The sequence below is a fragment of the Homo sapiens genome, chromosome 11 (assembly GCF_000001405.40).
Source record: "Homo sapiens chromosome 11, GRCh38.p14 Primary Assembly".
Lineage (NCBI taxonomy): Eukaryota > Metazoa > Chordata > Mammalia > Primates > Hominidae > Homo > Homo sapiens.
Window position 1 is genome coordinate 25,453,327 of NC_000011.10, and position 23,880 is coordinate 25,477,206.

A 23,880-nucleotide genomic window follows, 5' to 3' on the forward strand; every position below is an offset into this window, starting at 1 on the left:
ATACTACAGTATAGTGTAAGTGTATCGTTTATATGCATTGTGAAAGCAAAAGAATAGTGATACGGTTTTGATAACTGATACGGGTTTTGCTCTGTTTTCCCACCCAAATCTCACCTCCAATTGTAATCTCCATAATCCACATGTGTCAAGGGTGGGACCAGGTGGAGGTAATTGGATCAAGGGGATGTTTTCCTCCATGCTGTTCTCGCGATAGTGAGTGAGTTCTCATGAGATCTGATGGTTTTATAAGCATTGCGCATTTTCCCTGCTTTCACTCATTTCGTCCTGCCACCTTGTCGAGAACTGCTTGCTTCTCCTTTGCCTTCTGCCATGACTGTAAGTTTCCTGACTCCTCCTCAGTAATGTGAAACTGTGAGTCACGACTCTTTCCTTTATAAATTACGCAGTCTCCGGTTTTTCTTCATAGCAGTGTGAGAATGGACTAATACTCTCAGTTTATTGCAAAGTTAGCTTTATTGTGGTGATTTTAACCAAACCCACAATTTATGCTTGTATGTATGTATTTGGTATGTAAAGCCAAGTGGGTAAAGATAGAATATTTATAAACTATTTTAGTGAAATGGGTGCTTTATTATATGGTAAGGCCAAAATATGCCTTGCACTGTGCTCTTCCTCCAATGCTTCGGTCTGTAACCACTTGCACTCCTTTTGTCACTCGTTGCGGTTCTCCTCCAGTGATATCTTACAATATGTTTAAAGATTATAGTCGATCCTCATGAAAATTGGATCTAGACCATTATATCCGCTAAGAAGTGCTGTAACTTCTTAGAATGAGAATGTTAACTACTCCTAAAAATTTATTTTTTTTGGCTTTAGATTATAAGAAATCTGAAAATGTAGGCTATATAAATCATTGTACAGGTATTCCCTTTAGCTCTTACCAAGATGGTTAATAATATTTATCATATAGTACTACATATATGTAAATTCAGAAGGAATGCATATCTCAAAAAATTAATAATTTGTTTGCAGATATGAGGAAAATGGGAGGGTAGCTTGCCTGGAGTAACCTGGTTAGTTAATGGAGAATCAGTATGGGGACCCTCATGTACTATTTTCTAGTCTAAACACTTATTATTGGCTTCACCAAATGGCCTCATATTTATTGTATTGATTCAGAATCTTATTTTCCTTTCGTGACTTCTGTTTCTATCCATTTTCTTCCAATATCTGAAGCTTTCTGAACAGCCAAGTTGTACTAAAGCACCATTTTGAGTGAATGAATTTGCTTCATATGTGAAACAAATGGTGGCCATATCACAGATAAATTGTCCCAAAATGTATTTGTTTATAAGCAACCTAGAACTTAATTGCAATATTTTTACCCTTGAGAATATTATGGGGAATAAATGTTTAATTTCAGCTTTTAGCCTCATCTCTCTTAATTAAATGAATAAAGGGCCTAGACATTGTTCTATCATGGGTCTTTCTAGTTGACAGAGTTTCTGTTCCCCAATTATTCATTTGTTTTCATTTTGCTGTGTTTTTTAAGAGTTTTACAGAACACAAAAGGCTTAATTTAATGAGCCTGTTTTGCAATATAGTACCAAAATAACATAGACAGTGGGCTTACATACAAACTCAAACAGGACTTGAAATGAATCGCTTCAAAACCTAAACCCTCTATTGTCTTTACTTACTTTTTTCTTCTTTTTTAAATACCAGACAATTAAGTCACTGTAAAAAAAAAAAAAACAAACAGAAACACAAGAAATGATGTAGCTCATTTAAAGGTGTTTTTGTTGTTGTAGTTGTTGTTTTTAAATAAGATGCTATTTTCAGTTACAGGCCTCCTTGGTACATGCCCTTCTTAGTACAAATTTAATTCAACATGTAATTTCCAAATGGAATGTTTACAGTGAAAACAAAAAAATGTGCATGTACAATCATAAAACATTTCCAAATGGTAGGTTACATGGTCTGTTCTGATGATCTGATAGTTGTGTTTTAGTCAACATATTGATAACAGAAATTGCAAAATTTAAAAAAAAACATATATTGTTGTTTCCACTGTTATAGGACTCAAAATGTAATGTTAAAATATAGAAATTTTGAAGAGGAGAAAGGCTGGGAAAAGAAGTGAAATGGGTCAAAGAAAATTTAAGCATCTACTATGAGCAATATATTTTGTTAGAATTTTTTGTATATTTTTATCTACTTTCAACATCTTAAAATGGGAACTGGTATATCTGCTGTACAGAAAAAATATCAGAGCATCAGTGAAATAAAGTAACTTTGCCATGTTGATGTAGTTAAAAAGTGGTAAAGGAATTTGAACCTCCAGTGGGCTGACTTTTCAATCTTTTCACTATATTATGTTCTCCGAAGAAATGGTTTATAAACTAACACACATTTGTTTTGTACCTACTCTGTATTTCTCAGATGTGTTACATACACATCATTATCTTCATTTTCACCAAGAAGAAAGAGACTAAGAAATGTTGTTCGTGTTCTCAAGAACCAACCTCCAAATAGTTTGTGATAATGATTTCAACAGTCTAAAGATACAGAAAAATAACCTGTAAGAATGAGAAAACAAGGACAAAATAGAGACTTTTTCAATTTATATTTCTTTATTTAAAAAATGCTCATTTATTTTGATATTGTAACTTTTTGTGTTTTGGGTGTTAGAATGTAAAAGTTAGTAGTTGGATTTGTTTTTTATTTGTTTTAATGTCCAATTTTACCATTGGCAATCTCAGTTTTTGTTATTAGTATTTAATTTTACTATCCTTTATAATACAGAGTTTAAAAACCTGTATGTTTATTAAGTTAAACTAATTTTTACAGCTAGTGTTTGGTAAACTTGGGACTGAATTCTAGATCAAAGCCTTTTCTTTCCCTACTACAATGAAGTTTTGCTGATCATTTGGCAAGACACCAGTATAGCAATCATTTCCATCATGGATTGTAGGTTCTTTCTCATGCAAAGAGGTAAGTAATTAGAAAGATTTACTTATCTATATAGTTTTGGTGTTATCATGCATGCTTTTGTTGCTAAATTATCACATTTTGGCAGATGGCAGATTGTCTTCAAAAAGAATAGAAATAAACTGATTATTCTGGGGTATTGGTGGATATTTGCATGTAAGAGAGAGGATGTGTAATCATTTTAGTAAAGATGCATTTGTGGCTCATTCCATTTCATAATTTACAGACCCAGCTGTGCTCCTCCCTAGGTCTTCTGTATAATTAAATGGGAAAGCTGCATACGGAAGCAGCTGAAATTATATATGGTTTTCTGGTCAAACTGCATAATAAACTGCAAAACTGCAAAATAAAAATTAAAACTAAAATAACATTCATTGTAATAAGATTTGAATTTCCTTTTTTTTCTAATCAGGATAAATTTTTAACTCATCAAGACAATATAAATGTTTTGAAGACCTGTGCCTAGCCTTTCATAGTACTCTTTTGTTCAGTTCTCAAACTTCACACTTTTGCTTTTTGCTTCCTTTAATATAAAAAGTAGTCCCTCTATCAATCATGCACTATATCTAAATACATCTATATCTGTTATTTCCAAGTTACAATATATTGCTTAATCTAATGTGTGAAAGAAGGAACATAAGATGAAATTTTCATTTGTTCAGCAAAGACACTCTTTGCTTCAAATTGAAGCAGAATGTAAAGCCTATGTTTTCAAGAACTATACTGGTTTAAATATAATAATTATGAATAAGTATATAAGCCACCTCTACACAAATACTCAGGGTTCTTATATATGGCAGTGTCTCTTTATAAAGTGATAAAACATTCATGTTTGTATCAAGATTGATTGATATGTGTTAGTTTTAAAACAACTTGATTTTTTAAATGAATTATTTTTAAATGTGAGTGGGAGAGAGGAAGATAGTAACTTAGTTTCTGCTTCTGCCGCTATTACAAGATACCATAGACTAGATAGACTAGGTAGCTTAAATAATAAATGAACTATTATTTTTAATCAATCTAGAGGCTAGGGAATCCAAGATCTAGACCCAGGTAAATCTGTTGTTTGGTGAGAGCACTCTTGCTGGTTTGCAGACAGCTGTCTGCAATGTATTCTTACATATTAGAGAGAGGATGCAAGCTTTTACTAGGACACAGGTACCATCATGAAAATCTACCCACATTACCTAATTACCTCCCAAAGACACCACCTCCTAATACCACCCCATTGGGTGTTGTTGAGGTTTCAACATATAAATTTTGGAGAAACACAAACATACAACTTATGAGAGAGAGAGAGAGAGAGAGAGAGAGAAAGAGAGAGAGAGAGAAAAGTGCCTTTTGTTTTCTTTTGTTTTGACAGTCTTGCTCTGTTGCCCAGGCTGTATTGTAGTGCAGTGGCACAATCTCTGCTCACTGCGACCTCTGCCTCCCCAGTTCAAGTGATTCTTCTGCCTCAGCCTCCCATATAGCTAGGATTAGAGGAACCAGCCACCACGCCAGGCTAATTTTTGTATTTTTAGTAGAGACGGGGTTTGGCCATGTTGGCCAGGCTGGTCCTGAAGATGCTTTTATTATTATTTTTTTAAATAGAAAAAAGCTGTTTGATACATTTCATTTGTTCCTCTTTTTATCTCTCTCCGCACCCTCTTCCAGTCTCCCATCTTCCTCCTTCTCCTGCCTCTCTCCCATTTTTATATTCCAAAGCATATCCATTAAGAAGAGTTTATTGTCCTTGACTGGTAGGTCTGCGAAGAATCACGAGAGACGCACTTCTAACAGGCATTCCCAAAACAAGGACTTTCTATGTTCTTTGATCAGTGCACATCTAGTTCAATTCCCTTAGATCCCCCTCAGCAGCATCCAAAGACCAGGGCTTTGTTTTACAGTATTTGGAAACCTAATCTCCAGTGCCACAGAGATCTTCAATATTAGAAAGATCACAATTTTTAGAGGAAGGCAGACTTGAGTTGGAGCTTGCCAGTAATAAATCCATGGCCTTGAGAAAGTTCCTTATGTAGTCATCATTTCATTTTCTTAAAAATAGCTTTTTACTGGGGTTAAACCGCAGAGAGGATGCAGTGTAACCTATTTCAGCATATGCCCTAAAGAGACATCTAACAGAAAAACAACAGCAAATCACCACCTCCCTTTGTCTTTCTATAAGTCAGTTCATTTGAAACCTGTAAGCAATATTATTTACGCTATAAGATAGTGATGACGTTAAAATGAGATTTTTCACGAAAATGAAATAAACATCTCTAGCATGTAGTACGCACTTAGTAAATATTAACCAATATAAATACACTATTATGTTGAAAGCCAATAAGCAAAAATATTTGGGCAGATCAGACCAGTATATACATACATACATATATATATACACACATACACACACACACACATCATATATATACATATACACATTTATTATATAATGTTTTATATATATAATGTGGTATATATATGTGTGTACATATTATATATAAAAAATCATATATATAATATATATACATATTGAGGGCAGGCACAGTGACTCATACCTGTAACCCTAGCCCTTTGGGAGGTTGAGCTGGGAGAACCACTTAAGGCCAGGCATTCAAGACCAGCCTGGGCAACATAGTGAGACCCCATCTTTAAAAAAAACAAATCAGCTTGGCTTGGTGGTATGAGCCTGTACTCCTAGCTAATCAGCAGGCTGAAACAGAAGGACCGCTTGAGCCCAGGAAGTTGAGGCTGCAGTGAGCTGTGATTGTGGCTTTGCACTCCAGTCTAGGCCAGAGATTTGTCTCTGAAAAATAATAATAATCTCTGAAAAATAACAAGAATTATATGTATTTTAAGATACCTTTTAAAAGATACAAATACCATCAATTATTACTTAATATACACATTTTAATTGTCATTTTGCTTGCTTGTCAGTTCTAATTCAACTCTCTTATCTTGACAGATGACTGAAGATAAGTTCATAAAAGTAATGATAAAACATGTTAGCAATGTAATTTAGTTATTGTGCTTCCATTACAAATATTACCTTCAATTATTGATTACAGAAAATCAGAGTAACATTTTAAGACACATTTATATTTTGTTCTTTGGTTAATCTAGATAAGATTCATCATAATTATTTTGATAGGGAATACGCATATTTCAAAGGGTTTCAAACTATGAATAATAATTGTGATCTCTCACATGACCATCCTTGAAACATGACATGTCTTGCTGAAAAAGAGAATAAGCATCAATTGATATGCTAATTATCAGCAAGCTTAATTTATTATTCTTTTCTATAAGTAAGCATTTATAGAAACTTGGATATATTCTTTATCTGTGTATAATAGCTTGCTTTACATATCCCCTATGAAACATCACCTAAGTTGGATACCCCTGGTTTGGGGGATAAAATGGAGTAAAGATTTAGCAAAAGAGGGAGCTATTAAAAATAAAATATTATTAGAAGAGTTTTCTTAATAAGAAATAGGACATAATTGTCCCAAACAATCATAGTAGGTATCTGGGAGGCAAACAAGTGAAGGGAATAGTTGGAAAAGCACCTATTCATAAAAAACTGCTAAAGATGAAGATTTAAAAAATGCAAGAATTTATATTCTCTATTCTTTGTTTATAATAGACTTTTTATTAGTTTGGTATTGTAATAGATTACTCATTTGTATTTTACATTCTAGTCATATGATTAAAGTTTATAAGTAATTTTGTACAAGTAAATTTAACTTTAACACCATGTTAAAATTTCAGAAGCCAGAAAAGAGGGAGATGCAGTCTTATATTTAACAACTTAAACATTTTAAATCGCATGTAGTTACAGATTGAGATAAAACAAAGCATTTCTCTTGGCAGTAGAATCCCTTTGTTCTGTGTATGTGGAACATAAGTTCAAGACTGCAGGGACTATGTTTTGTACAACTATGTATATTATAAAACTTATAGCACAATATATTGCACATACTATTAACTTAAAACATTTCTGTTGTGGCTTTTTATAAGAACGCAATTTCAAACAATGCACACATATTAAATTTTCTAAATAATGTGTTTCATTATTCAAAGTATTAGTACTGTCTAGCATTTTCTAAGTCAGCTTGATTAATAAACCAAATGCCATAGGAAGCAAATGATTATCTGGGGGAAATTTTTAAATGATATAGAAATCTTAACTTTTTAACCAAATGTAAAATGGATGTGAGAACAATCAGCTCAGAAGCAAAGTTCAGCATCATCATTATCACCATGAACTAAAAGCTTTCTAGACAATAAAATTAATATTACTTTGTGATGAATCCAATATGTGGAATTGAAGTTTTTCAGAGAACTCTAATTAGTGCAAGTTCTCCTGTGTTTTTTTTTATTATTATACTTTAAGTTTTAGGGTACATGTGCACAATGTGCAGGTTTGTTACATATGTATACATGTGCCATGTTGGTGTCCTGCACCCCTTAACTCCTCATTTAACTTTCGGTGTATCTCCTAATGCTATCCCTCCCCGCTCCCCCGACCCCACAACAGGCCCGGGTGTGTGATGTTCCCCTTCCTGTGTCCATGTGTTCTCACTGTTCAGTTCCCACCTGTGAGTGAGAACATGCAGTGTTTGGTTTTTTGTCCTTGGAATAGTTTGCTGAGAATGACGGTTTCCAGCTTCATTCATGTCCCTACGAAGGACATGAACTCATCTTTTTTATGGCTGCATAGTATTCCATGGTGTATATGTGCTACATTTTTTTTTTTCAATAGCCCAGCCTGCTGAGCTGCCACTGATAAGACCTCCCCTCCCCTTTCCTTGGTCTGGCATCTTGTTCAGATAATACAGCAAAAGCTCTATTACTCTCTGGGGATCAACTTGAGTGTCATCTTGGTGGCTCACAGCCAGCATTCTGGCTTGCGGACAGACAGGGGTCCTTTATATGTGCCACATTTTCTTAATCCAGTCTATCATTGTTGGACATTTGGCTTGGTTCCAAGTCTTTGGTATTGTGAATAGTGCCGCAATAAACACACATGTGCATGTGTCTTTATAGCAGCATGTTTTATAATCCTTTGGGTACATACCCAGTAATGGGATGGCTGGATCAAATGGTATTTCTAGTTCTAGATCCCTGAGGAATCACCACGCTGACTTCCACAATGGTTGAACTAGTTTACAGTCCCACCAGCAATGTAAAAGTGTTCCTATTTCTCCACATCCTCTCCAGCACCTGTTGTTTCCTGACTTTTTAATGATTGCCATTCTAACTGGTGTGAGATGGTATCTCATTGTGGTTTTGATTTGCATTTATCTGATAGCCAGTGATGATGAGCATTTTTTCATGTGTCTTTTGGCTGCATAAATGTCTTCTTTTGAGAAGTGTTTGTTCATATCCTTCACCCACTCTTTGATGCGGTTGTTTTTTCTTGTAAATTTATTTGAGTTCATTGTAGATTCTGGATATTAGCCCTTTGTCAGATGAGTAGATTGCAAAAATTTTCTCCCATTCTGTAGGTTACCTGTTCACTCTGATGGTAGTTTGTTTTGCTGTGCAGAAGCTCTTTAGTTTAATTAGATCCAGTTTGTCAATTTTGGCTTTTGTTGCCATTGCTTTTGGTGTTTTAGTCAAGAAGTCCTTGCCCATGCCTATGTCCTGAATGGTATTGCCTAGGTTTTCTTCTAGAGTTTTTATGGTTTTAGGTCTAACATTTAAGTCTTCAATCCACCTTAAATTAATTTTTGTATAAGGTATAAGGAAGGGATCCAGTTTCAGCTTTCTACATATGGCTAGCCAGTTTTCCCAGGACCCTTTATTAAATAGGGAGTCCTTTCCCCATTTATTGTTTTTGTCAGGTTTGTCAAAGATCAGGTAGTTGTAGATATGCGGCATTATTTCTGAGGGCTCTGTTCTGTTCCATTGGTCTATATCTCAGGCTGGGCACAGTAGCCCACGCCTGTAATCCCAGCACTTTGGGAGGCTGAGGCAGGCGGATCACGAGGGAGGAGATCAAGACCATCCTGGCTAACACGGTGAAACCCCCTCCCTACTAAAATTAAAAAAAAAATAATTAGCCAGGGGTGGTGGCGGGCGCCTGTAGTCCCAGCTACTTGGGAGGCTGAGGCAGGAGAATGGCGTGAACCTGGGAGGCGGAGCTTGCGTGAGCCAAGATCATGCCACTGCACTCCAGCCTGGGCAACAGAGCAAGACTCTGTCTCAAAAACAAAAACAAAAACAAAAAAACTAGTTTTAAAAACTCTGTAGCCAGCCTACAGTATTATATTCTCTTTTCTGAACATACTGTTATCAAAGAGCATGACCTACGTGGTTGGCCTGAAAGCTTTTTTGCCAAATGGCACGATTTGAGGCAGAGGCTTAGAGGATGAAAATCTATGACATGGTAAATAAAAGTTGCAAACCCTACAGAAAATGAATATTACCCTGAAGTTGTATTTCCATAAGAGCAAGACCAGCCAAAAACTTAATGGAGAATTTCTGAAAAATGAGAGAAGTATTTAAAAGATAGATAAGTTCACCTTATATTTCTGATTACTAGGAAAATAAACTTATAATGAGATCTGAGTGTCCATATGAAAGTGAAAGTGAGGAGAAATTTGAGAAACAACTGAACACTAAGTGTGTCCCCCAACCATCCTGCAGAGGAATAGGGTAATAGTCTTATGAACTTACAGTGTTTGAGCTCAGCCTCCATGCTAATCATTCAATCTCACAGGGACAGTTAATTGGAAGAAACAAAGCTAAAATAATTAAGAACAAAAAAGAACTGTATTTGGGAATGTAAATTACTAGATCCGCTATGGAGAACAGTATGAAGATTCCTCAAAAAACTAAAAATAAAATTATCATATGATAAAGCAGACCCACTGCTGGGTATCCAAGAAAAAGAAAATCAGTACATTCGAGAGATTTCTCTACTCCAGTGTTTACTGTGGCACTATTCACAATAGCCGAGATATGATATTAACTTGTGTCCATGAACAGATGAATTGATAAAGAAAATGTGGTATCAGTAAATAATGGGCTATTATTCAGATATAAAAAGGAATGAAATCCTGTCATTTGCAATAACATGAATGCAACTGGAGGACATTATGTTAAGTGAAATAAACCAGGCCCAGAAAGACAAATATCACCTGTTCTAACTCATATGTGGGAACTGAAAAAAAATGAATTCATGGAAATAGAAGAATGATGCTTACTAGAGGCTGGGAAGGGTTGGGGGAGGGTATTATAAAGAGGGCTGTTTAATGGGTAAAAAATACAGTTAGATAAAAGGAATAAGATCCAGTTTTAGGTAGCAGCACACTAGGGAGTTTATAGTTAACAATTTATTGTAAAATAACTAAAACAATGGAATTGAAATGTTCTAACACAAAGAAGTATTAAATGCTTGAAGTTATGAATGTCTCAGTTATCCTAACTTGATCATTACACATTGTATGCTTCTAGTAAAATATCATTTATACTCCACAAATGTATACAACTATTTGTATCCATAATAAATAAATGTTAAAAAAAGTTTTAAAATATGGTGAGATCAACATCTATACACTGCAAGGGTGGATGAGTCTTCAGTTTGAATCTAGTCTAGTTACTACATAATAAGCAAAGAAAACAAAATACAACATACAAACAAAAAATCCTAAGTAATGAAAATCAGAACACATAGTTTCTACATTATAAATGTTCAGTTTTCAAAAAAAATACATGATGCATACAAACAAAACTTGTGACATATACTCAGAAAATGAAAAAAAAATACAGTAAACAGGTATTGATTCTCAGTGAGCCCAGATGATTAAGCAGGCAAAGACTTCCAAGAAACTATATTATGTTTAGAGTAGTAAAGGAAAAAAATAAAGTAAATGATGCCACAACTATGAAATTGTAGTTGCAAAATAAAATCCCTTAAATAGAGACAAATGGAAATTGTGAACTTTGTGTGGATTTGTTAAAATTTATTCCTGAAACATATGGTAGAATAAGATAGTGAAACCATATGTACTTCTATATTTCTATATAGTAAGGATTTTTATTATAAATTCAAATTGTAATACGTTTAATTTACTACAAATTTAATAAATACAGGATTATTCAAGTTATTTATTGTGCCTGAAATCTAGGTTTTATTTTTATTATTGTCTTTTAAAGAATATTTTTATATTATCTAAGTTGTCAAATGTCTTGGCGTAAGGGTGTTCATAATATTGTCTTACTTTAATAGCTGTAGGATTTGTAGGGAGTTTTTATCTTTCATTTATTATGTTGGCAATTTTTTTCTGCTTTTTCATTCTTTTTTATAATTAACCTGGGTAATGTTTTATTGATTTTATCCATATTTTTAGTTATATTCTATGTTTGTTAATTTACTCTATTGGCTTTTTCTGTTTTCTATTTCGTTAATCTCTATGCTTATTTTCCACATATTTTTGGCTTACCTATTTTATTTTACTTTTCTACTTTCCTAATGATGAAACATAGATCATTAATTTTAGTTTTTTTTTTAATTTAAGCATTCAGTACTAAAAATCAAAAACCATTCAGACTGTGAAAAACAACTGCATTCCACAAATTTTTATACTTAAACATTTTTACATGGTTCACAATATTTTCTAAATACATTATACTTAATACCATTTAGAACTGTGTGATTTAATTTAGAAATATTTTGGGATTTTATAGATTTTTTAGCAGATTTCTTTCTAGTTTGCGTTGTGGTATGACATCAGAGGATAATATTATAGAAGAAGACATTATAGGATTTCATGTCTTTTAAATTTACTGAGATGTTTTATTGCTCAGAATATAAACTTGTCTCCACAAATGTTTCAAATACACATAAAGCTATGCATACTCTGTTACTTGAGGCAGAGTTGTCTATAAATGTCAATTAGGTCAATTAGGGAGATAATATTAAACAAAAGGAAATGAGAAAGGAACCAACACATATCATTGCAAAAAAAATTAAAAAGAACTTAATATAACAAAAAAGAAGGCAGAGGAATGGTAAAAGTGGGAAAAATTGCTAGGATGTACTGATAACAATTAACAAAATTATAATAATAGGCTCTTTAGCAGTAATTGCATTAAATTTAAATAATTTAAACTTCCCAATCAAAAGCCATAGACTGGCTCAATGCATAAAAATATAATATCCACCTATGCACTCTCTAAAAGAGACACATTTTAAGTGTAAAGACACAAATGCTGAAAGTGAAAGGATCTAAAATGATATTTCATGCAAATGTTAATCAATGATAGCAGAGGATGCAATGCTTATGTTCGAAAATTAGATGATAAGTCAAAATCTGTCACAAGAGACAAGGAAGGATACTGTATGAATATAGAAGAGACAAATTACCATGAAGATGTAGCCATTATAAGTGTATATGTACCTGACATCAGAGTCCTCAATTATATAAAGCAAACACTGACAGAATTGAAAGGAGAAACAGACAGTAACACAATAATAGTAGGAGACTATATGCCAACCTTTCAAAAATGAATGTAATAATCAGATAGAAAATCAATAGTGAAACACAGAACTTAAAAACACTATTAATCAATTGGCCCTAATAGACATATACAGTGCACCTCCCCCAGATGATAGTAGGATGCATGTTCTTCTCAAGTGTACCTTTGACATTCTCCAGAATGGATCAAGTGTTGGCAGCACACTGCCTTAACAAATTTTAAAATACTGAGATTATATCAAGTATCTTTTCCTACAACAGTTGAATAAAACTAGAAAACAATAGTTGAACACATTCAGCTATTGTTTTCTAGTTTTATTCATCTGTTAACAAATTTAGTCAAAAAGTCACAAATAAGGCTGAGCACAGCGGCTCACGCCTGTAATCCCAGCACTTTGGGAGGCCAAAGCAGGAAGATTGTATGCGCCCAGGAGTTTGAGACCAGCCTGGGCAACGTAGTAGGACCTTATCACTACAATTTTTTTTAATAGCTGAGTATTGTGGCACATGCCTGTCATCTCTGCTACTCAGGAGGCTAAGACAGGAGGATCACTTGAACCCAAGAGTTCAAGGCTGCAGTAAGTCATGATCATGCCACCAGACTCCAGCCTGGGTGACAGAGTGAGTGAGGCCCAGTTTCAAACAAAAATTTTAAAAATTAAAAATATATATATATACATACACATATTACATATATATATATATATATATATATAACATAAAATTTTAAAATTCACAAATAAGTATATATTAAAGAATGCATACTTAGACAATCAATAGGCCAAGAACAAATGACAAGTGGAATTAAAAAATATCCTGAAGCAAATAAGAACAAAAATACAACATACACAATTTTATGGGATTCAGCAAAAACAGAACCAAGAGGGATTCATAGTGGTAAACTTTTATGTTGAAAAATAATAGGCCAGACGCAGTGGCTCATGCCTGTAATCCCAGCACTTTGAGAGGCCAAGGGAGGTGGATCATGAGGTCAGGATTTCAAGACCAGCCTGGCCCAGATGGTGAAACCCCATCTCTACTAAAAATATAAAAATTAGCCTGGTACGGTGTCAGGCACCTGTAATCCTAGCTAGTCGGGAGGCTGAGGCAGAAGAATTACTTGAACCCAGGCAGCAGAGGTTGCAGTGAGCCGAGATCGTGCCACTGCACTCCAGCCTGGAGTGCAGGCTGGAGACTCTGTCTCAAAAAATAAATAAATAAAAATAATAATAATGAAATGGATTATACACCATGACCAAGTGGGATTTAGTCCTGCAATGTCAGGATAGTTCAACATACAAAAATCAATCAATGTAATACATCACATCAACAGACTGAAGGACAAAAATGTACATGATTGTCTCAATTAATGTATATTATATTACAATATTCAACACCTTTTAATTATAGAAAACAAAACAAATGATAAGCTTCAACAAACTAGACATAGAAGGAAACTAAATATAATTAAAGCTATAAATTAATAGTCCACAGCTAACATAATAATGAAAGACTGAAAACTTATTCTCCATGATTACCAAATTTAAAATACTTAATGGTACCATCACCAAAATCTTTCTTTTGCTATCTCTTTATACCCACATCTACTCAATCCTCCTCATTAATCCTAATTCCTGGGACTCACCATTTCGTTCTCCCTTTTTTATTTATCTTATTTCTCAAAAAGTGTACAGATGGAATCATCCAACGTTTATCCTTTAGGATTATTTTTTCACTCTGCCTAACTTCCTTGCTGTTCATCTAGTTGTATGCATCAATAGTTTGTTCTTTTTTATTGCAGAGTGGTATTCTATGGTATAAATGTATCACATTTGTTTATTTGTTTTTTGAAACACTTGAGTAGTTTCCAGGTTTCTGTTATTATTAACAAGGTTTCTAGAAACATTTTGTATAAGATTCTGTATGAAAATTAGTTTTTATGACATATTGTAGCAGGACAAGCTGCAGAGAAAAATCCTCAGACACCAGATTAAAAAAGGAAGAGGCTTTATTCGGTCAGGAGTGTCGACAGACTTGCATCTTAAGAGTCATGCTCCCTGAAAAAGAAATTCTTGGCCCTTTTAAGGGCTTACAACTCTAAGGGGTCCACGTGAAAGGGTCGTGATAGATCGAGTCAGCGCAGGGAACATGACTGGGGGCTACATGCATCAGCTAACAGAACAGAAAGTTTTGCCATGCTTCTTCATACAATGTCTGGAATTTACAGATAACACAAGTAGTTTAGGTCAGGGGTTGATATTATTATTATTATTATTATTATTATTATTATTATTATTATTGTAACTACCAGGGCTGGATGGTGGCAGCAGGCTGTCTGGCTATTTATCTTACTTCCGTTTCTTTTAAACTTTTTGCTTTCTTCCTTTCCTCCTGTCTTATAAACTAGGCAAGGGTGGGGGGAGGAGGGCAGCAGGAGAAGTGGTGGTATCCTTCCTTATTCCCTCTTTTGAGAATTTCACTTATTAGTGGAAGTTCTCACTTTTATTTTACTTTCTGAGTTTCTTTGTGAGACAGAGTGATAGTGATTCATATAATATACTTGTGCTGAAGTTTTCTGATGAACCAAGGTAGCAACAAAACCTTTTATCATTTGAAGGAGCAAGGGTAATACACAGGGAAGCAGCAAGCAAGTTCTTATTACTGGCAATATACGTATAATGAGAGTTTTAAATTTTCTTATAGCTGGAAACTATTTTTTAAATAAAGACTTAGGATTAAACCTGTGCTAAACCTGTACAGGCACATGTGCCAACTTTGTCATGTCCTAAGCAGGTTAGTTCTTTTACTGGGTCTTAAAAGCTTTTTTTAGTGAGCAACGCAGTATTTCTTAATAATAGAAGTTTTTAAGAGCCAGACGCTTGAACTTGTGGGCATCTGTTTGGGGAAAGAGTCAGTTAAAGTAAAGTAATCTTGAGGCATTAACTCTTTTGCTTCTCAAGGCCATTGGTCTCTCATGTTATGTTTATAATATATCCAAGAACAAAATTTCTGGGACATAAGTCTATGTTTGGTTTTAAAAGGGAATACCACAGTAATTTCAAAGCTGAATTAATGATTTTACATTTCTACCATTTCTCTGCATTCTCATTAACATGTTTCATCATTATTTTTTATTATAGCCAGTCAGATGGTTTTATAGTATATCTCATTATGGTTTTAAGTTGCATTTCTTGAATAGTTAAATACATTGAACATCTTTTCATGTGTTCATTTGTATCTGTGTATTATTTTCTAGGAAATACCTGTTCATGTCTTTTGATCATTTTCTAATTGGATTATTTACTTTTAATGTTGATTTCTAGAATTCTTCATATATTCTAGATACACAGTGTTTTCAGATACATAATTTGTAAATATTTTATCAGTCTATAATTTGTCTTTTACTTTTCTTAATATGGTCTTTTTGTAAAGCATAACTTTATTTTCACTGTGATTTAATTTATCAAACTTGTGTAAGTTGTGTTTTTGTTTAAGTCTGGGAACTGTCGACTTCTAGGTCCTGAACATTTTTTTCCTACTTTCCTTATTTGTGGTAGAAGTTTTACAGTTCTATGTTTTCTAGTTAAGTCTAGGCTCCATTTTGAGTTAATTTTAGTATAAGGTATGAGATTTATGGTAATTTTTTCATTTGTTTTTGCCTATGTTCTAACACAGTTTATTGACCAGACTATCACCCTTCTATTGAATTATTTTTGTTCCTTCAGCACAAATTAATTGAGCATATTTGTGAGCTCTATATCTGAGTTCTTTATTCTGTTCCACAGCTGTGCATATGTCTCAGGCAGCATGCAGTCCACGCAGTCTTAGTTACTTATCCACGTAATTAGCCTTAACTTTAGGAAGTTATTCTTCTCACTTCATGTTTGAAAATTATTTTGGATATTCTAGAGCCTTTCTCATTTACTATGAATTTTACAGTAAGGTTTTTGTTTGTTTCTTTTTTCTTGTTTGTTTTTAATAGAATCAGTATCTTGCTCTGTTGCCCAGGCTAGAGCGCAGGGGTGAAATCATAGGTTACTGTAGCCTCAAACTCCTACGCTCCAGCAATCCTCCTGCCTTGGCCTCCTGAGTAGCTGGAACTAAAGGCATGCTTCCCGAAACCCAGTTAACTTAAAAAAAAAATGTAGAGACAGGGTCTCACTACATTGTCTAAGCTAGTCTCAAAATCCTAATTTCAAGCAATTCTTTTGCCTTGACCTCCCAACGTGGTGGGATTACCGGCATGATCCACTGCACCTGGCCCTAAAATAAATGTTTATATGTCTACAAAATATTTGTGGAAATTTTGACAGAAATTGCATTAAACCTATAGGCTAATTTAGGGAGAATTCATGTCTTTATAATGTCGAGGCTTCCATTCTATAACACTGTATATTTTTCTATTTATTTAGATACTTTCATCAGCATTATGCAGTATTCAGCACACAAGTCCAAGTAATTGTTAGATCAACAACTAGTTATTTCACTGTACATTATTTTTGGAATATATACATGATACTATATTTTTACGATAAATAACTTGGTGACCATATATTTAGTGCTTTTATCTAGGAATACGACTTATATGTGTATGTTTATCTTTTATCCTACATCTTTATTGAACTCACTTGTCAATTCTACAATGCTTTTGTTGATTTATTGAGACTGTCTACATAGTCAGTTATCCCTCCACAGATAGGTACACTTTTATTTGTTCCTGTTCAATCAGTAACCATTTTATTTCATTTTTTAGCTTAATGTGCTGGCTAGAACTTGCGGTATTCTGTTGAATAGCAGTGGTAAGTGTTAAAACTTATTTTTTAAAGCAGGTTTTTAATTTATTCAGGAAGAAATAAGTAGACTTTTAAGCCAAACCTCAGTTTTCTGTTTCCAGAGCTCGTGTTCTCCTTACAGATGTACTTCCTTAATGGAAGTCCTCCATTTTCAGAAATACCTCTTCACGATAGCACCATGTCCATGAAAATCATGCATTAAAACTTGTGGTAAAATAGTTTCTATGGTCCAAAATGAATCAACTAAACTAACAAAACCAGCAACCTACTAAGAAAACTAGTTATGTAATTAGTCCAATTATTGAATCTATGGAATCATGTAGTAAATTCTTCAGTACAAGTTTCGAAGTGTAAGGCATTGCAGGATAATCTAGATTTTTTTTTAGACATTAACATTAAAAATGTATGCCACTTTCTCTATACCTTCTTTAATACTAGGGGGCACGCCTGCATTCTCTGGAAGTAAAGTTTTATGAAAGTGTCCTAATGAATTTGTATTTTATCCATTACATAGTTTTGAAATTTGTAGACACAGAAAAATACAGTAACATCATATTTAAGATGGAGAAGTAAATTACAGTCTTCAAATCAAAGTCATAACCTGAACACTTATATTTAAGGCTAGAAAACTCTACTATCCTGTGCCTCTGCATGTATTCATTACAATATTGTTTTCTGGTTTAATTCATGGGAAGGTGAAGCAAATAAGTTTTACCTTTAAGTTTTGTCTACTGTTTGTACATTTTTGAATAAGCTGATAACTTTAGAGAGAAAGTTGACCTGAAAAACGGAATGACCATTGGAATGGAGGCTTGGACACTTTTGCCTTGTTCCTCATTGAATGAACAAAGCATTCTGTCTTTCAAAACTGTATATGATGTAAGCTCTAGGGTTCTTTGCAGCTATTCTTTATCAAGTGGAGGAAGTTCTTCTCTATGCTTAGTTTTCTCATGTGAGTACATATAATAATATATCCCATATGATATATCATATATATCATATATATACTCACACACATATATGTATACACTATAATCATGTGTGTATTGAATTTTGTCATATTACATGATCATGTAATTTTTAATCTTGTTTTTTGTATGACATATTCTTTATAACTTTTTTATAATCAACCTCTGAGACTTAATAATTTTATTATTTCAAGGTGATTTTTAATTGATGTTTGAAGCATGTTTATGACAGTTAAAATCTTTGTCAGGAAATTTTAACTTCTGATTCATCTTATTATTGGCATTACTTGGTTGTCTTTTCTTATTCAAATTGGAATTTTCCTGGTTTTTGGTATTAAGGGTAAGTTTCTCTGGAATCCCAGAAATGTGAGTTATTGTGTTGGGAATCTTCTAGTACTAAAGTCTTCTATTTTTGCACACAGTTGCCTTGATTAGGTTTAGTATGTGGAATCTAGCCTACTATTTTGGGCTTTATTTCCAATGACAATTTAGTATCTGAGCATATGCAATGCCATTTTAGCCTTCTGGTAATGCTAAGGTTTCCACTCTCACCCTGTTTTGTCACTTGTGGGCACAAAAGTTTCTTCCCTGGGTTGTATGCTGTTGTTTCTGGGGTAATTTCTGGGGCAAATTCTGGAGCTATGTTCTATTTTTAGCTATTACAATGCTACCTTTTTTTCATCATGTAGGAAAAGGGGCAATTTCTTCTTGATTTTCACATGTAAAATCCTCTGAGCTTTTTTGGTGGTTCGTTATTTTTCACAAAGGCAGGCTGGGTGATATTTACCAAGTGAGTGAGGCAGAGAGAGAAAATTCCACAGAGAATTGACATCCCCTTTGCGTTCTAAGTGACAGTTTGCTTCAATAGTAGCTACTTAACTTGATGAAATAGTTAAGACATGATACTAGCAAGTTATGATCATATTAGACTTATCACTTGTTTTCTTCCTGAGTAGAACTCATTTTATGAATACTATTTTGCTAAGTTTCCATAGTGTTTGAGGAACACAGAGAAAGGAAATTCAAAGGTATTTTTAAATTGTAATACCCCTTATCACAATAAGATTGAGATGTTAGACAAGGTTGGTGCTGAAATACACCTATCAATTATTTTCTTTAATTTTCATATTCAATAAAAGATGTTTGTTTGGAAGATCAAAGGATTTTATCCTCATAATCATCTATGATTACATTAATGAAAGAACCCACCCTACAGCATATCTGTAAATTTCTTTTTCAAGATTGTGGTTTCATGAGATGTGCTACAACAGAAGGATTTCAGGGTAAAGAATAGATTCAGGAAATTTTTCACACAATATCTGCCTTTGTTGTATTTGACAGTTATCAAGTACTGTAACTCAAACTTCATTGAGATTCTGAATTACATATGGTTCATAATAAAATGTGTGTTCAAATAATGAACATCTGGTATGCTTTTAGACTAAAAGCAGTCAACCTTATTGAAAAATACTGAAGTTAATACATAATGTGAGATTTCCTAATGAACAGAATATTGTATCTTAGTTTGCTGGATTGATGTTATATCTTATAGGATATTGAGGTTTTTGCTAGATAGATTGATTACTATTTTTTAAATTACTTGTGGTTTCCATTATTGATGTACCTGAAACTGTAGAAATGATTGTCATTTTTTAATAATCTTAATGTCTAAACAAATTTAGAATTCAATGTTTTTCTAATTCTTTTACATTAAGAATATTTTTCTTATCATGGAGGAGGAATTTCCAGTAGAATTTGACTCGTTTGTAGTAACTGAGTATTTTAATATTGATTAAAAGCCACTCTGAATATTTGACCTTGTGGATATCTCAGATTTCTGATTCTTTCTCCATTGTGGCCCTCATATATATTAAAGTGATGGCACTTTTTATTCTCCTTCATCCCTTCAATTTAAATTTGCTAGTCTATTCTCAATTTGTACTTTACAGGACCTGTTGAATGAAGCACAAATAAAACTACCCAAACAACCCCACTGCCGTGAGCTGTTTTCAGTTTTGATTATGTCAGAACGTATTCCCTAGATCCTAGAGCAGATTCTTTTTCTAGCAGGAGATGTAAAGCTAGAGCAAGTCACATTTATGCACCTGGAATCTTCCAGATACTGTGCCTGGCATTAGGCTTATAACTTGGCTTTGTTTATTTGTATGAAGCGCCTAAAAGTTCGAGAGCCAGAGAAGTGCCTTTCCCCTGTGCGACACCCCCCGCCCACTGCCCTGGCAAAATACACAACTAGACAAAGCTTGCACACATTTCTTAAAAAACAAAATAGATAAGTAGAAGATTTGGAGAGATGAGAAATGTGAAAATATTAAGAACGCCCCACACACAAAATTTTAAAAAAGCAATTCATTATTTCTGAACTTCAAGTATCCCTATCATGTGTTAGACAAAATCCCCTTTTATCATTTTTCCATAAAACATTCCTGATCCCTTTGTTTAGATGAATCAGAGTTGAAACGCTTGTCTAGATTCTTCTCATAATAGTTACTAAAATATTTTATATTTTTAAACACAATATTTTTGGCATTTTCATAACTAGAAATATATGAGATTTAGGTATTAAAATTTTGTCTTGTTTTACATTTTTATTTTTTATAATTTGTTGCTATAAATTAATTGCTGAATTATGTTAGAGATCTAGACTTAAATTTATTAAATTATATTTATTTTGATGCTTCTATTTTTTATCAACTTTTTGAAAAGAAATTCCACATGCATCCTTGATCTGAAAGTGAGATGCACACACATATACACGTTTACTGACAGAAAACAGTTGAACAGCTTTTAAAAACAAGAAATAGAGAAAAAACTATAATAAATAATAAGTAGATAATAAAACCAGAAGCTGAGTTAAATTCACTCAGTTGCTAGTTCCTTCATACTCTTTCAGACCATAATCTCGGGGTACAATCATGTAATTTTAAAAAATATATGTATCTTTAAAAAGTTGTCTATTTTTCCTAAAAGTTAACAGTTATGATGCTTCAATGACAGTCTACTTGGAATGGATATACAAAGTCATAATTTCATAAAGACTATATAGGCTTTTTCAATAACTTGCCAATTATAAATTGGTCTGTTTTGGACCCAAATGTTATATAACAGTTACCGTTTCGATTTCATTCTGTTTTTCTAGTCCTTCTATAATACAGCTGTTGAAATCACTTTGAGTATTATGAAATGCTGGGGATCTTCAGCATTGCTAGAATCAAACTTGCAACCATCCCATAAATGGTTTACATCAACCATTTACATTCACTTTCCTCAGGTCTGGATTTTGTGCTAGTTTGAGTGTATTGTTTATTGTGGATTTTATTTCTATTCTTAATATCTTGGACTAAACTCATAGAATATTAAGAAAAGTCATTAGATAATTTATTTGCCTAAATAATTCATTACTGCTAATATTTAGTAGAAAAAATCTATATAAATGTCTCAATTAGAGTATTTAGAATTCTATAGAAAATCTTCTTATGTATATATCATAAGATTATGCCAAGTGATGAAAATTGTTGACTTGTTAGAAATGCTTAACATGATCTTTTGTATAAGTGAAATATAATATTGGCTAGGGGTAAGGGTTCTAGAAAACCAATACAAAAAGATAACATGCTATGTTTAAAAAATAATTTTAAGTAAAGGACCAGTTGATGAAAGACAAACATTCATATAGAACCAATAAACTTACATTCATAATTTTTGACCATCAACATATTTTAAAAATAATCATTAAATGGCTTTAATGAACACTAAAAATTGGAGTCTTGATATGACCAAGACTAATCAAATAAATGCACTGGTGATCATTCTGAAAATGGCTCCCAGGAAGCCATTTAAGGAAATTGGCATTTGAATAAATACTTGATTGATGGTTTCAGCAGTAACTTTAACTTGTGGGTTCAAGTTAATGGATTAAATGAAGCAGTGAGTTTTTCTGTATATTCATCTTTTACGAGTAGACACATTTTAGAAATACAAAGAGCATGGAAAAATCCTTGGTTTTACAAAATGGATCTACTACAGCATGTGAAGATATTTATAATAGTGTAACTGGCAGGTTATGTCCCACCTAAACAGTCTCAAAATGACTTTCAGGTGTAAGAAATAGGAATCTGTAAGAGTGAGCTAAAACCTTGTTTATAAAAGAATGTTAAATATTCATAAAAGCTATAACCAATAGGTGACCTTAAAATTTGTAATAACAGCTTTCTATAAGGACATGGCAAAATGTTTAGTGACTTGAAGTATTGGAAAGCTATTACTAAATAGCTTTTTAAAATGTAAAACCTTAATAGGTAGTGTCATTTATTATCTATTTTTCATAGCACAGCTAGAGACAAAGAGCAAGAGAAGGAGAACCAATTTTATAGCTAATACTTAGAGTTTCCAGATGAAGTGAGAAATGTAAAATATTGGATCTCTTGATTCAGTTTCTTCTAGCTTCCAAAGATCTCTTGTCAGCTCCTAAAAATACTTGATTCTTTAAGAGCAAATATTTCTAGGCTTATTTGTCTCTTTGATTTCAGTTTTTCACTGTATTGAAGTGAGATGCTTAACTATCTCTACAGGTCCTTGAAAGGAAATCAGGGAATTTAGTTTGTTTTATGTCTACCCCTCATTCTACCTCACCCAAGGAGGTGAAGGAGGTAAAGAATATAGCCCTGGACTCTCCAAACTCTTCCTCCACCAAATTTAATCCCAATGTCTTCTCTTTTATCTCATGTATTATACAGTTTACACGTTGGGGTATGATATGTAGTTTTGATCAAAGATAATCATCTTTGGTATACTCAAGCAGATGTTGGTGCCGTGCCTGCACAACCTGTAAAACCATGAGCCAAATTAAACCTCTTTTCTTTATAAATTGCCCAGTCTCAGGTGCTTCTGCATAGCAACACAAGGACAGATTAACACATAAGTCTAGTGAAATATATTTGGCAGTTTGGTCCTGCTCATAGATAAACTGAATCTAGGGGTTATACTTCTGACTAGGTTCTCCTCTTATCCCTCATTAAAGCAGCAGTAAATTCAAGATAACAAGAATCTGTTCTATAAATTTCAGATAATCTTTTTGAAGAGTTTTTTCAGTCTTGGTCCCCCACATTACAGGAATGTTTAGGCAGAAACTCTCCAAAGCTGCCATTCATGTCCTTTATTGGAACAGCCATCTGCATCTATACACCAGTACATCATTGTTACCCAGATCCCATGTTACATGGATGTCACATTTCTAGCATAAACAAGTGTTCTCTAGACTGTATACCTAGAGCCAGAGGACATGTTCCTTTTGAGAAACAGTGACAAAAGTGTAGAAGAAATGTTGATAAATGGAGCAGTAGATAATAGATCAGCAATCCCTTAATATTTATTTATAATCCCTGAAATAAATTTTGCTAGAGACTCTTGTTAATATGAGATAAAATATTTAACTTGATTTGAGATCTGTCATATAATACAAGGACTATGTAGATGCTTTAGAAAACATTGGCCAAGATAATATTTAAAAGATGGCAAGGTTATGACAGAAAGAAAATGTAGTTTTTTTTGTTTGTTTTTTTTTGTTTGGTTTTTAGGTTTTTCACATTGTAGTGCAGGGTGTGGCTTCATTACTTTATCTTATTTGAATGAACAAAATTTGAGAACAGCTATGTCTAGGAATGTGAAATAGTTTAT

At 33.3% G+C, this 23,880-nt stretch overlaps 1 long non-coding RNA gene across 2 annotated transcripts in view; it reads left to right on the forward strand.

Annotated features, from left to right (window-relative positions):
• The first annotated feature begins 273 nt into the window (after nt 1–273).
• Nucleotides 274–23,880, forward strand: part of LINC02699 (long intergenic non-protein coding RNA 2699) — a 470,852-nt gene continuing 447,245 nt past the window's right edge. The window contains exons 1-2 of one of the 2 annotated variants that reach the window (NR_183693.1): nt 274–336; nt 17,179–17,224. This is a non-coding gene — a long non-coding RNA (long intergenic non-protein coding RNA 2699). The remainder of the gene's footprint in view (nt 337–17,178; nt 17,225–23,880) is intronic. The other variant, NR_183694.1, reaches the window with a different exon arrangement.